Source organism: Homo sapiens, chromosome 15 (assembly GCF_000001405.40).
Source record: "Homo sapiens chromosome 15, GRCh38.p14 Primary Assembly".
In the NCBI taxonomy this organism is placed as follows: Eukaryota; Metazoa; Chordata; class Mammalia; order Primates; family Hominidae; genus Homo; species Homo sapiens.
In genome coordinates this window covers 76,734,329-76,749,989 of record NC_000015.10, presented here as the reverse complement: position 1 = coordinate 76,749,989, position 15,661 = coordinate 76,734,329, and the positions used below count along the sequence as shown (strand labels likewise).

Below are 15,661 nucleotides of genomic sequence, written 5' to 3'. Positions count from 1 at the left end.
TTTATAATAAATTGAAATCAGGAAGTACAAGTCCATAAGCTTTGTTGTTTTTTTTCTGAGCTATTTTGGCTATTTTAGATCCTTTGTATTCCATATAAGTTACAGGATCAGCTTTTGAATTTCTACAAAAATATTTTTTAAAGCCTATCTGGGTTTAAATTGGGTTTGCATTGAATTTATGGATTAATTTGGAGGAGAATTGACATCTTAATGATATTGAGCATTTCTTTCCATGAACATGACATATATCTCAATTTATTTAGATTCTGGCCTTTGCATCTGTTTTGTGAAATTTATCTGTAGTTCATATGTTTGATGGTATATTCAATGATATTTTGTTTTAATTTTTTTCTGTTGATTGCTAATACATAGCAATGCAGTTGATTTCTGTATATGTACCTTGTGTTTTACAACCTTGCTAGTAAACTCACTTATTAGGTCTATTGTTATTTCTTTCTTTCCAGTCTGTATGTTTTTTATTTTTTATCTCCTTTTATTGCAATAGCTGGGACTACTGCAGTGTTGAGTAGTTGTGAAGAGAGCTGACATCTTTTCTTGTTCCCAGTCTCAGGGGAAAAGCATTTACTCTTCACCATTAAGTACAATATTAGCTATAGACATTTCATAGATGTTTGTTATCAAATTGAGGAAATTTCTTTCTAGTCTTAGTTTACTGAAAATCTTTACCATGATTGGACTTTAAAATTGTTCACATGGTGTTTTGTCAATTAAGATACCATTAAATTTTTTTTTTAATGATGAATTTCACTGCTTGATTTTCAAATATTAAACCAACCGTGCATTTCTGAGATAAACCTTATGTATTCATAGTATATTATCATTTTTGTGTATTGGTGAATTTGATTTGCTAAAATTTTAGGAATTTTTGCATCAGTGTTCATGACCGAGGGTGTTCTGTAGTTTCTTTTCTTGTAATGTCTTTGGTTTTGGTAACAGGATATGCTGGCTTTGTAAAGTGATTTAGGAAGGGTTCTATCATCTTCAATTTTTTTAGAGTTGTTTGTGTAGAATTGATACAATTTATTGTTTAATTTTTTTTTTCTTGTAAAATCTACCAAGGAAGCTATCTGGGTCTGGGGTTTTCTTTGTGGGAAGATTTTTGCCTAAAAGTTTTATTGCTTTAATTTACATAGAGCTATTCCTATTATCTGTTTCTATTATATAATTTGTGTCACTCAAGAAATTTATCTATTTCCCCAAAGACTAATACTGTAGAGCATCTTTTCATGTACTTTTTGGCCATTTGTATATCTTCTTGGAAAAAATCTCTGTTCAAAATCCTTTGCTCACATTTTACCTGGGCAGTTTGTCTTTTTGTTGTTCAGTTATACGAGTTCCTTGTATGTTCTGGATACTAGATCCTTATGAAACTTGTGATTTGCAAATATTTTCTTTAATTTTGCAAGTTGCCTTTTCACTTTCTTGATAATGTTCTTTTCATAAAAGTTTTTAATGTTGTCAAATTCCAGTGTATTTCTCTTTTTTTGTTGCTTAGTTTTTGGTGCTAAGAAATAATTATCAAATCCAAGATCATGAAGATTTACCTCTTTGTTTTCTTCTAAGATTTTGTGATTTTAGATTTTTATATTTAAATTGTAAAGACATTTTGAGTTAATTTTTGTGTATGATCTGTGGTAGGGGTTCAACTTAATTCTTTTGCATAAGAATATCCATATTTCGGCCAGGCGCGGTGGCTCACGCCTGTAATCCCAGCACTTTGGGAGGCCGAGGTGGGCAGATCACCTGAGGTCCAGAGTTCGAGACCAGCCTCACCAACATGGAGAAACCCCGTCTCTACTAAAAATACAAAATTAGCGCGGCATGGTGGCGCATGCCTGTAATCCCAGCTACTCCGGAGGCTGAGGCAGGAGAATGGCTTGAACCCGGGAGGCGGAGGTTGCTGTGAGCCAAGATCACGCCATTGTACTCCAGCCTGGGCAACAAGAGCGAAACTCCGTCTCAAAAAAAAAAAGGAAAAAAAAAAAAAGAATATCCATATTTCCCAGCACCGTTTGTTGAAGAGACAGACCCTCTCATTGGTCTGTTTCAGCCCATTTGTGTTGCTATAAAGGAATACTTGAGGCTGGGTAATTTATAAAGAAAAGAGGTTTATTTAGCTCACTATTCTGTAGGCTGTACAAGAAGCATGGCACCATCATCTACTTTTGGTGAGGGCCTCAGGCTGACTTCACTGATGGCAGAAGGTGAAGGAGAGCCAGCATGTGCAGATCACATCGTGAAAGAGGAGGCAGTAAGAGAGGAGGGAGGTACCACACTCTTGGAAACAACCAGCTCTTGAGGGAACTTTTGCAGGAACTAATATAGCAGAACTCACCCCTCTCCCCTGAGGGCATTAATCTATTCATGAGGGATCTGTTCCCATGACCCAAACACTTCCCATTAGGCCTCTACCTCCAACATTGGCAATTAGTGTTTCACATATTGATTACATATATATATATATTTTTGAGACAGAGTCTCACTCTGTCCCCAGGCTGGAGTGCAGTGGTGTGGTCTTGGCTCACTGCAACCTCTGCCTCCTGGGTCCAGGCGATTCTCCTGCCTCAGCCTCCTGAGTAGCTGGGACTACTGGTGCACGCCACCACACCCAGCTAATGTTTGTATTTTTAGTAGAGATGGAGTTTCACCATTTTGGCCAGGATGGTCTTGATCTCTTGACCTTGTGATCTGCCCACCTTGGTCTCCCAAAGTGCTGGGATTACAGGTGTGAGCCACCATGCCTGGCCAGATCACATTTCAACATGTGGTTTGAAGGGACAGACAGCCAAACCATTGCAGTCTGTATGTCTGTCCTTATGCCAGTACCACACTATTTTGATTACTGTAGCTTTTTAGTAAGCTTTGAAATGGGAACAGTGAGTCCTCCAACTTTGTTATCCCTGTCCCCACCAAACATGATGTACCAATGTAGTGTACCTTGCCATTCCATGTGAATTGAGGTTTGGTTTTTCGTATCTGCAAAAAAGCCTGTTGGCGTTTTGTTAGGGATTACATATCTTTATATCCTTTTGAGTAGTATTACCATCTTAACAATATTAGTCTTCTCATTTATGAACGTGGAATTTCCTTCTGTTTATTTGTCTTCTTTAATTTCTTTCAGCATTGTTTTGTTTTTAACATACAAGTATTTCACTGCTTTGTTTAAATTTATTTGTAAGTGTTCTTTTGGATGCAATTATAAATGATATTGTTATCTTAATTTCATTTTTGATTATTCATTGCTAATGTGTAGACACACAATCAATTTTTATATATTGATCTTATGTCTTGTAATCTTGTTTGAACTCCTTCATTAGTTTTAATAGCTTTTTAGTGAATTCTTTTGGATTCTTCATAAACAAGATCACATAGTCTGCAAATATAGTTTGTTTTGCTTTTGCTTTCCAGTTGGATGTCTTTGATTTCTTTTTCTTGTTTAATTGCTCTGGCTAGAACCTATAGTATATTGTTGAATAGAAGTAGTGAGAGTAGACATCCATTTGTTATTCCTTATCTTCCTAGATGTATTTAATCTTTCATCAAGTATGATGTTAAGTGTAGAGTTTTCATATACAGTTGAGCCTTGGTATCTGTGGGTTCTGCATGTGCAGATTCAACCACCTGCAGCTTAATCAATAGGTGATTGAATCCGTGAATGCAGAGGATCAACTGTAAGGGACTTCAGCATCTATGGATTTTGGTATCCATGGTGGATCCTGGAATCAATCCCCCATGGATACTGAGGGACAACTATATGTCCTTTATCAGGTCAAGGAAGTTCATTTTTATTCATCGTTTGTTGAGTATTTTTATTATGAAGGGATATTGGATTTTGTCAAATGCTTCTTCTCCATCTATTGCTGTTACACTATATTTTTTGTCCCTGTTCTATTGATCTGGTGTATTACATTAATTGAATTTAGATATTTTGTATATTTGTCCAATTTTGTTGTTTAAAGTGCAAGGGTAAATCTCATCCTGTTACTTATGGCTGGAAGTGGAATTTCTGATCTATGTATTATTAGTATTTTTATCTTTTTGTTTTCGAGGGACAGTCTGAAGGTAGATTATTGATGATCAGAAAGGCAGAATTAAATCCAGATCTTTCTGGTTCCAAAGGCTTTGATTTTATCACTGTACTTATTACTTTAGTATTCTCATTTTGTGATATTTTGTCATATGACTTACATACATTTTGACTTGTCTAATTGCTTGATATACTTACTTTCAATATGATTTTATTAAGCCAAAGTGACTTTTATAAGCAAATTAAGCTAATTATTTATCACAGTTTAAATAATTTCCATAGAGATGGATGGTCAACTCCTGGCTATCTTTACATGAGGAGATCAGCTACCATTTATAGTTCTTTTAATTCTTTTTCTTAAAATTCCAACTTTTATTTTGGATACATGGGGTACATGTGCAGGTTTGTTACATGGATATATTGTACCCTAGTAATGAGCATAGTACTCCATAGGCAAATTTGTTTTGCTTTGTTTTGTTTTGTTTTGTTTTTTGAGATGGAGTCTCACTCTGTCACCCAGGCTGGAGTGCAGTGGTGCAATCTCAGCTCACTGACACAGCTGCCTCCCGGGTTCAAGCCATTCTCCCGCCTCAGCCTCCCGAGTAGCTGAGATTACAAGCACACGCCACCACGCCTGGCTAATTTTTTTATTTTTTTATTTTTTAGTAGAGACGAGGTTTCACCATTTTGGCCAGGCTGGTCTTGAACTCCTAACCTCAGGTGATCCACCCACCTCGGACTCCCAAAGTGCTGGGATTACAGGTCACTAGGTAGTTTTTAACCTTCTCTCCCTTCCCTCTCTACTTCGAGTAGTCTGCAGTATCTATTGTTCCCATGTTTATGTCCATATGTGCTTATTGTTTAGCTCCCACTTACAAATGAGAAAATTTGGTTTACTGTTCCTGCATTAATTCACTTAGGATTATGGCCTTCAGTTCCATCTATGTTGCTGCAAAGGATACAATTTCATTCTTCTTTTGGTTGCGTAGTATTCCATGTTGTATATGTACCACATTTTTTTTAATCCAGTCTATCGATAGGCACTATTGATGGACTCCTGGGTTGATTCCATGTCTTTGCTATTGTGAATAGCATGGCAATGAACATATGACTGCACATGTCTTTTTGGTATAATAATTTGTTTTCCAATGGGTATATCCCCAGTAATGGAATTGCTGGGTCAAATGGTAGCTGTGTTTTAAGTTCTTTCAGAAATTGCCACACTGCGTTCCACAGTGGCTGAACTAATTTACATTCCCACCAACAGTGTATAAGCGTTCCCTTTTCTCTGTAGCCTTGCCAGCATCTCTTGTTTTTTAACTTTTTAATAATAGCCATTCTGACTGGTGTGAGATGGTATCTCATTGTGATTTTGATTTGTATTTCTCTGATGCTTAATGATGCTAAGAATTTTTTCATGTTAGTTGGACACTTGTATGTCTTTTGAGAAATGTCAATTCATGTCTTTTGCTCATTTTTAAAAATGGGGTTATTTGTTTTTTTGCTTGTTGATTTAAGTTCCTTATATATCCTGGATATTAGACTTTGTTAGATGCATTGTTTGCAAATATTGTCTCCCATTCTGTAGGTTGTCTTTTTACTCTGTTGATAGTTTCTTTGGCTGTGCAGAAGATTTTTAGCTTAATTAGGCCCTACTTGTCAACTTTTGTTTTTGTTCCAATTACTTTTGGAGATACAGCCAAAATTGACTTGTCAAGCAGATGTCAAGAAGGGTATTTCCTAGGTTTTCTTCTAGGATTTTTATAGTTTGAGGCCTTACATTTAAATCTTTAATCCATCTTAAGTCAATTTTTGTATGTAGTTAAAAGTAAGGGTCTAGTTTTGTTGTTCTGCATATAGTTAACCAGTTATCCTAGTGCCATTTATTGAAGAAGGAGTCCTTTTCCCATTGCTTGTTTTTGTTGACCTTGTTGAAGATCAGATGGTTGTAGATGTGCAGCTTTATTTCTGAATTTTCTGTTCTGTTCCATTGGTCTGTGTGTCTGTTTTGTACCAGTACCATGCTGTTTTGTTTACTGTAGCCTTGTGGCATAGTTGGAAGTCGGGTAATGTGATGCCTCAAGCTTTGTTCCTTTTGCTTACTATTGCTTTGGCTATTGGGGCACTTTTTTGGTTCCATACGAATTTTAGAATAGTTTTTTTTCTAATTTTGTGAAGAATGCCACTGGTGGTTTGATAGGATAGCATCAAATCTGTAAATTGCTTATGGCGATTTTAATGATACTGATTCTTCTAATACATGCACATGGGATGTTTTTCTGTTTGTGTCATCTCTGATTTTTTTCAGCAGTGTTCTGTCATTCTCCTTGTTCAGTTCTTTCACCTCTTTGGTTAGCTGTATTTTCCTAGGTATTCCATTTTCTTTGGCTATTTTGTATGGTATTGTGTTCTTGATTTGACTGTTTTCCTGGGCATTATTGGTGGATAGAAATGCTACTGATTTTTGTACATTGATTTTTATATCCTGAAACCTTGCCAGAACAGCTTATCAGTTTCAGTACCCTTTTGGCAGAATAATTCATGATAAGTGAATTAAGAGTCTGTACTAAAATTCTTGCTAATGTAAATACTGTTTTAAAACCTTGCTACCACTTGCCCACCTGTTGGTGCTCTCAGTTGTCACCATTTTCAGTTCAATAAACTGTGAAATCCTGTCTGGACATGTATTCCATTTCTACAAAGAAAATAGACATGGTATTTTTTTCCTTATTCAAAAGTATTTTTATTATCATAGTGACGACCGAAGTCTCTTGAGTTAGATAAACTTGGACTTCGGTTCTGACTCCACCACTTAGTAGCTGAATATCCTTAGGTATTATTTTACCTCTCTGAGCCTATTTGTTCATCTTTAAAATTGGAATAATTTTACCTACATGTCAATTATTGTAAGTATTAAGTTAGATTATGCATGTTGTGAAGCAGTTAATGTCATCTTTGTTATAACAAAAGCACTTAGTAAAATATTAGAATTATAGAAGAAATGTTCTACTTATTTTTTTCTGAAGTCTCATGTATTTCTGTTGTTCTGTTACTAATCAAAAAGTACTAATAATCCAGTAATTTTTTTAATTTAAATTTTACTATAAGTGTACTTTCCTTGAGACCATGTACCATTTTAGTCCTGTTACATACTCAAGATGTTTTTTTTCCATGTATGCTTTTTATGAGTCCTTGGGATAAATTAATGGCCATTTCAAATCCTTTAGTTCTTTCTTAGGTAGATTGGTGATTGAAAATAAGTTAGCTAGTATTCTGTTGATGGTGATTAATATTGCAGCCTGAGTTATTCAAAACCTGATTTTATATTAGATCATAGTCCATTATTTAATAGTCTAATATTGACTTTCATTTTCAGTTTCTTGATGGTCTCATTGACTCATTTTCAGTTGCAGCATGTCTAGCAATAACTGCTGTTTATTTTTATTCTTTTTTTTTTTTTTTTTTTTTTTTTTTTAGGAAAAGACACCTGTTTCTTATTCCTTGTGCTGTGGGTCCTATTTTTGTCCCCTTTGCTGCTCTTGGAATTGTTTTTTTTTATCAGTTAAATTCTTGTGCCTGGTCCTTTGCTTTCTTCCTCTAGATTACCTACTTTTGTACACCTGTTTTATAGATTACCTATTTTGTACTTTTGTAAATCCCCAAATTTCTGAGAAATAGTGGCCTGAGCTTGTTTCTAATACCGATCACCCATGTCTTCCTTAATTCCTTATATGATTTTCCCCTTTCTGCAACTATATTTGCCTTTGAGAATATTTCTCTGTTTTCACTGAGTTTAAAAGACTTTTCTGAGTCACTTCATATGAACACCATCAGGCATCTTTTTCTAGAAAACTTCTGCACTATCTTAATTTTCTCTCTACTCTCTAACCAATCCTTTACTGTCTTCCCTTCTTTATTTTGTTAGTTAAACGTAACTGAAAAATGAAGTTTCACTTCACTTACTCTTCTTTTTTAGTATCACAGTCACTACCATTGCTTCAGTGTCTTCTCTGCAGTGATTTCTAAATCTGAATCTTTAGCCCTACCTTCAACTGAGCTCTAGACTCAATTGCCTATTGTTTGGTGCTTGTATTGAGTGGAACTCATCAGCTCACCATCTCCTTTATCCCAAACCAACTGCTTTACTGAATTCCATATTTCAGATAATGATAATAATAACTAGTCACCCATTAACCTAGATTTGGAAAACTTGTATTCATTTACTTCATTTCACTTTTCTTTTTAATCTCTTCTTGACAACTTTTTGTGTATCAGCCAGAAAGATAGGCTGATTTTTTCTGACATCTTCTTTGGAGTCCTATGTATACATACACCTGCAGTTCTCTAACTCTGTAGGCAGCTACATTTTCCATTGCAGCTGCCACCAGTTTATTTTTATCTCCCTCCTAAATATTTACAGTTGATATTCTTCCCTTTTGTTCCTCCTCCCTCCAGATTAATCTTTCTGGAGGGTATTGTAATGCCTCTCAGGCCAAAAACCTTCAGGGACTTTTTATGGTCTTCAAGCCTAAGTATAAATCCATTACTCTAGATTTCTTTAATATTATATTGTATTTAAAATAGTGGCCATATTTTTATTTTAAAAGTGATTCATTTTTATTTTGAAGAATTTAAGCAACATAGCAAAGGAAACTCAATCCCACCCTCAGAAATAGCCACCATTAACATTAGGTAGACACTGTTTCAGACATTTTCCTATTATTATATTCAGATTGCATGAATGGATAATCTTATAAAATAGAATTATGCTATACATGATACTTCGTAGTAAGATGTATTAATCTTTATTTTAGTTCCATTTTAAGGGAAGGAGATGAAATGGAAGTGAAATTGAGGAAATTCTTGAGTTTATCGTGTTAATCACAAGAATTCATTCTCATAAGAATTTTTTGAGATAATAAAATATGAAACGTATTGAGAGTTTGGAGTTGTATTTATTCAATTTCATTTTAATTTCTGAACATTTTTAGGGAACCCTTGCTAAAAAGAGATGAGAAAATTAGCACTCGTATATCATCCTAATCTTTCCACAATAATTATTCATAGTTTTATTATTTTTCTCTTGTTAAAGTTGATCAAATTTATGTTTTCCTCTGTAACTTTAAATTCCTCAGTTTAGTTTTCCTTATATATGTAAATCGACTCATTGCTTACCAATTCTTCATTTATGAGTTGTTTTATCTTTTGGTTTGCTGGATTTTATTAAGAAAAAAACTTTTTTCTAGGAAAAGCTCATATATGCTCTGTCCCTTGAGTTCTTACATATTTTAGGCCTGTGGCATTTCTACCTGAATTATATGTTGGTTTGAGATCATATTTATGATTCACAATATCTCTCCTTCAGAACTTCAAGACATTATTCCATTATCTTAGTTATTTCTGTGGGGAAGGCCGAGTCTACACTGAATTTTCTTTCTTGTAGGTGACTTACATTTACTGCATGGAAGCTTGAAAAATTATTGTTCTTTCTTAATGTTTTATGATTTAATAAGGATATTCTTGATGGTGATGTTCTGAGTCAATTTTTTATGAAGTAATGTAAGCTCTCTTAATCTTTAAACATTTCCTGTATTTTATGTTGGAATATTTTCTGTTGCCTTTCTTAGCTACATAGATACTGTTTATCTTTATCTTTATATTAGGTCATTTTGTCATGTTCTCTGTATTCAAGGCTTATTATCTATTCATCTTCACTGTAAAAATCTACAATAACTGTGATTATCAAAAGTTTTTCCTCTAGAAGTAATTTAAGTAGAGACAGGGTGTCACTCTTATCACCCAGGCTGAAGTGCAGTGGCATGATCATAGTTCACTACAGCCTTGAACTCCTGGTCTCAAGTGATCTTACTGAGTCAGTCTTTTGAGTGGCTGGGACTATAGGCATGTGCCACAAAATTTGACTTATTTTTTAAATTTGTAGAGATGGAGGTCTTGCTATGTTGCCCAGGCTGGTCTCGAACTCCTGGTCACAAGTGATCCTCCTGCTTTGGCCTCCCATAGCATTGGGATTACAGATGTGAGCAGCTGTGCCTGGCCCATTATTTGGGGTTGGTTTTTACACTATCTGTTCTGTACCATGCATTTTCTAATTTAAGTAATTCTGTGATAGTGTTACTTTTGTACTCTGTTTGTTTCCTTAGCTCACGAATCACCTTTATCAAATAAGACAGTAGTCCTCCCTTAATTGCAGTTTTGGTCTTTGTGGTTTCATCTACCCTCGTCAATCACAGTCCAAAAATAGGAAATGGAAAATCTAGAAATAAACAATTCATAAGTTTCAGATTGTGTACTGTTGTGAGTACCATGGTGAAATCTTGTATAGTTATGTCCCGGACGTAAATCATTCCTTTGTCCAGTATATCCATGCCGTATATGCTATCTGCTCATTGGTGTGTTAGTAGCCATCTTGGTTATCAGGTGGAGTGTCATGGTATCACAGTGCTTGTGTTCACATAACCTTTATTTTATTTAATGGTCCCAAAGCACAAGAAGAGTGATGCTAGCAATTTGGATATGCCAAACAGAAGTTGTAAAGTGCTTCCTTTAAATGAAAGCGTGAAAGTTCTCAACTTACTAAGGAAAGGAAAGAAATCTTATGCTGAGGTTACTGAAATCAGTGGTAAGAATGAATCTTCTATTTGTGACATTGTGAAGAAGGAAAAATAAATTTGTACAATGTATGTAGTCATCCCTCAGTATCTGTGGAGGATTGGTTTCAGGGCCTCTTGAAGATACAAAAATTGATGGTTGCTCAAATCCCATGTATAAAATGATATAGTATTTGCATATAACTTATGCACATCCTCCTGTATACTTTAAATCACCTCTAGATTACTTATACCTAATACAATGTAGATACTGTGCAATAGTTATTCTACTGTATTATTTAGGGGTTAAAGACAAGAAAAAATGTCTGTACAGGCATGCATTGTTTTATTCTGCTTCACTTTATTGGGCTTCAAAGATACTTACTGAGTTTTAAAAAATTGAATGTTTGTGTCAATCCTGCATCAAGCAAAGTCTTTATTTTTGCCATTTTTTCCAACAACACGTGCTCACTTCATGTCTTTGTGTTATACTTTGGTGACTCATAATATTTTAGATTTTTTAATTATTATATTTATTATGGTGATCTGTGATAAGTGATCTTTGGAGTTACTATTGTAATTGTTTTGGGGTGCCATGAGCCACACTCATATATGACAGCAAACTTAATTGATAAATGTTTTGTGTGTTCTGACTGCTCCACTGACCTGGCCATTCCCCCATTTCTTATCCTCAGGCCTCCTTATTCCCTGAGACACAGCAGCATTGATATTAGGCTAATTGGTTATTAATCGATAACCATACAGTGTCCTCCTAAGTCTTTTTTTTTTTTTGAGACAGAGTCTCGCTTTGTTGCTTAGGCTGGATGGAGTGCAGTGGCGTGATGTCGGCTCACTGCAAGCTTCGCCTCCCGGGTTCACGAGTGGCCTCTAAGTCTTCAAGTGAAAGAAGAGTTTTACATCTTTCACTTTAAATCAAAAGCTGGAAATGATAATGCTTATTGAGGAAGGCTTGTCAAAAACTGGGCTAGAGCCTGTGCAACTTAGCAAGACCCCATCTCTACCAAAACATTTTAAAAATTAGCCAGATGTGGTCGCACATGCTTATCGTCCCATCCACTCAAGAGGCTGATGTGAACGAATCACTTGAGCTCAGGAGTGTGAGGCTGCAGTGAGCCACTGCACTCCAGCCTGGGTGATGTGAAACCCAGTCTTGAAAAACAAAAAGAAAAAAATAAAGCTGGGATAAACTGAAAGCTAGGCCTCTTATGCTAGTCAGTCAGGTTGTAAATGCAAAGGAAAAGTTTTGAGAAAGATTAAATGTGTTACTTCAGTAAACATATGAATGATAAGAAAGCACAACAGGTTATTGCTGATATGGTGAAAGTTCGAGTGGTCTGGATAGAAGATCAAACCAGCCACAACATTCCGTTAAGCCAAAGCCTAATCCAGAGTAAGATCCCGACTACTTCCAATTCTGTGAAGTTTAAGAGAGGTATGGAAGCTGCAGAAGAAAAGTTTGAAGATAGCAGAGGTTGATTCTTGAGGTTTGAGGAAGGAAGCCGTCTCAATAACATAAAAGTGCAAGGTAAGGCAATAAGTGCTGACGTAGAAGCTGAAGGAAGATCTAGCTAAGATAATTGATGAAGACTGCTGCACCAAACAAGAGATTTGCAATGCAGATGAAAGAACCTTCTCTTGGAAGAAGATGCCATCTAGGACTTTCATAGCTATAGAGAATTCAGAGCTTGGCTTCAAATCTTCAAAGTCAAGGCTGACTCACTTATTAGGAGCTAATGCAGCTGGTGACTTCAAGTTGAAGCCAATGCTCCTTAACCATTGTGAAAATTCTAGGCCCTTTAAGAATTAGGCTAAATCTATTCTGTCTATACTCTATAAATGGAACAACAAAGCTGGCGTGACAGCACATCTGTTTATAGCATTGTTTACTGAATATTTTAAATCCACTGTTGAGACCTCCACCTCAGAAAAGAAGACTCTTCAAAATTTTACTGCTTACTGACAATGCACTGGTTACTCAAGAGCCCTGATGGAGAGAGCACAAGGAGATGAATAGTGTTTTCGTGCCTGCTAACGTAACATCCACTCTGCAGTCCATGGATCAAGGAGTAATTTCAACTTTCAAATCTTAGTTTTTAAAAAATACATTTTATAAAGCTATAGCTGCCATAGATAGTGATTCCTCTGATGGATCTGGGCAAAGGAAATTAAGACTTTCTGGAAAGGACTCACCATTTTAGATGGCATTAAGAACATTTGTGATTCATGGGAGGAAGTCAAAATATCAACATTAACAGGAATTTGGAAGACATTGATTCCAGCCCTCACAGATGATTTTTGGTGGTTCAAGAGGACAGTTAAGGAAGCAACTGCAAATGTGGTGAAAACAGCAAGAGTATGAGAATTAGAAGTGAGCCTGCTGATGTGACTGAATTGCTGCAGTCTTATGACAAAAATTAAATAAACGAGATACCTCTTGAGAACTTGTTTGGAGATTCTAGCAGGGGAGCACAGCTACTCATATTCCTTGATCAAAGACCAGTCCTCCTCTATCAGGGATGGTCATCCTCTTTGACCGAGCATGCAGCTTCAGGAGGGACGCACATGGAGCGGTGAGGGAGGAAGGGGACACCCGCTTAGCCAGCCAGATCAGCTGAATCAACCCTGGCGATCAATGGGGTGACAGATGTTACAGCCAGATCCCCCTCACATCCAAGTTATTTCTTATGAATGAGCAAATAATGTGGTTTCTTGAGATGGAAACTACTCCTGGTGAAGATACTGTGAACATTGTTGAAATAACAAATTATTTAGAATATTCCATAAAATTAATTGATAAAGCAGTAACAGGGTTTTGAGAGCATTGACTCCAATTTTGAAAGAAACTCTACTATGGGTAAAATGCTATCAAACAGCATCACATACTACAGAGAAATCTTTGAGGAAAGGAAGAGTCCATCAATGTGGCAAACTTCGTTGTTGTCCTATTTTAAGAAATTGCCACAGCCACTTCAACCTTCAGCAACCACCACCCTGATCAGTCAGCAGCCATCAACATCAGTGCAAGACTCTCCACCAGAAAAAAAGATTATAACTTGCTAATGGCTCGAATGTTCATTAGCATTTTTTAGAAAAAGTGTTTTAGAATTAAGGTGCGTACATTGTTTATTTAGACATAATGCTGTTGCACAATTAATAGGCCATAGTATTGTGTAAAAATAACTTATATGCATTGGGAAATTTGATAATTCATGTGACTTCCTTTATTGCGATACTCAGTTTATTGTGGTGGGCTGGAACCAAACTTGTAATATCTTTGAGGTATGCCTGTACATGTTCAGTACAAACACAATCACCCATTAAAAAACATTTTTTATCTATGGTTGATTGAATCCATGGATGCAGAACCCACAGATATGGAGGGCTGACTATATAGGTACTGTCTGTGATTTGAGGCATCCACCAGGGGTCTTGGAATGTATTCCCTGTGGATAAGGACATACTACTGTATGTTGTTTTATCATCTTTCCTTTGCTTCTTTAAATTCATGTTTTTGTCAAATTCTTCAGTGCTACCAAGTTTGTCTAATGAATTTTCTGCTGTTTGTTAGGTTATTTTCTTTTCTTATCTTTTTTTCTTTCTTTTTTTTTTTTTTTTGAGACGGAGTCTCTGTTGCCTAGGCTGGAGTGCAGTGGCACAATCTTGGCTCACTGCAACCTCCATCTCCCATGTTCAAGCGATTCTCCTGCCTCAGCCTCCAAAGTAGCTGGGATTACAGGGGCATGCTGCCACGCCCAGCTAATTTTTTTTTTGTATTTTAGTAGAGATGAGGTTTCACTGTGTTGGCCAGGCTGGTCTCAAACTCCTGAGCTCAGGCAATCTGCCTGTCTCGGCCTCCCAAAGTACTGGGATTATAGGTGTGAGTCACCGTGCCTGACCACAGGTTATTATTTTCTTCCAAATTGTTGCTGTTCTTTTAAATGAGACAGGGTCTCACTCTGTTGCCCAAACTGGAGTTTAGTGGCGCGATCATGGCTCACTGCAGCCTCTAACTCCTGGGTTCAAGCAATCCTCTCACCTCAGCCTCCCAAGTAATTAGGACTATAGTTGCATGCCACCACACCTGGCTAAATATATATATCTATATCTATCTATCTGTATATATTTATATTTAATAGAGATAGTCATTTTACATTGCTCAGGCTGATCTTGAACTCCTGGGCTCAAGCAATCCTCCTGCCCGGCCCTCCTAACGTGCTGGGATTACAGGCATGAGCCACTGCACCCTGCCAAGGTTGAGTTGTTTAATCTGACTTTTGCATACTCTTTCCCTTGTGAGTTTTATTTTATTGTAAAAATTTTGCTTAGTGTATTAGGTCCCATTACTTTTTCTTTCATTTTGATTATGTTTATGATATAGTCTGAATAAAGTTTCCTTGAGCATACTTGTTTATCATATATATATATATAGAGAGAGAGAGATGGAATCTCACTTTGTCGCCCAGGCTGGAGTGCAGTGCAGTGGTGCGATCTTGGTTCACTACAACCCCTACCTCCCGGGTTCAAGCAGTTCTCTGCCTCAGCCTCCTGAGTAGCTGGGATTAGGTGCCTGCCACCACATCCGGCTAATTTTTGTATATTTAGTAGAGACGGGGTTTCACCATCTTGGCCAGGCTAGCTTGCACTCCTGACCTTGTGATCCACCCGCCTCAGCCTCCCAAAGTGCTGGCATTACAGGCGTAGCCACCACACCTGGCCTATCTTGTATTTTGAGTACGTTCAGTACAGTTTGAAGGATGTTTCTGTGATTAATCTACTTATTAAAGTGCTTATGAAAGTGGTATCATGGCATGGAGATTGGGAAAGCTTAGTTGGATCTGTATTCAAACTTTTCTGAGATTTATAAAATATCTTAACGTAGGTTTTGTTCCATCCAGCATGGATTCCTGTAGTCTGTGGCTGTCAAAGACAGTTGTCTCTAGTGTTCACTTCCCTACTTCACTCTACCATTTTAACTGTAGCATAC

At 36.5% G+C, this 15,661-nt stretch overlaps 1 protein-coding gene and 1 pseudogene across 30 annotated transcripts in view; one reads left to right on the top strand and one right to left on the bottom strand.

The window, feature by feature from the left end:
* SCAPER (S-phase cyclin A associated protein in the ER) overlaps positions 1–15,661 on the top strand; it is a 557,437-nt gene that overhangs the window by 155,351 nt on the left and 386,425 nt on the right. Inside the window, exon 16 of one of the 30 annotated variants that reach the window (XM_047432634.1) lies at positions 10,553–10,688. The exons of 28 other annotated variants lie outside the window; for them this stretch is intronic. In XM_047432634.1, the coding sequence (XP_047288590.1) occupies positions 10,553–10,688 (136 nt within the window). Of the gene's footprint in view, positions 1–10,552; positions 10,689–15,661 lie in introns of those variants that run through there. One more of the 30 variants, XM_011521656.4, reaches the window with a different exon arrangement.
* Positions 13,111–13,349, bottom strand: RN7SKP217 (RN7SK pseudogene 217; annotated as a pseudogene).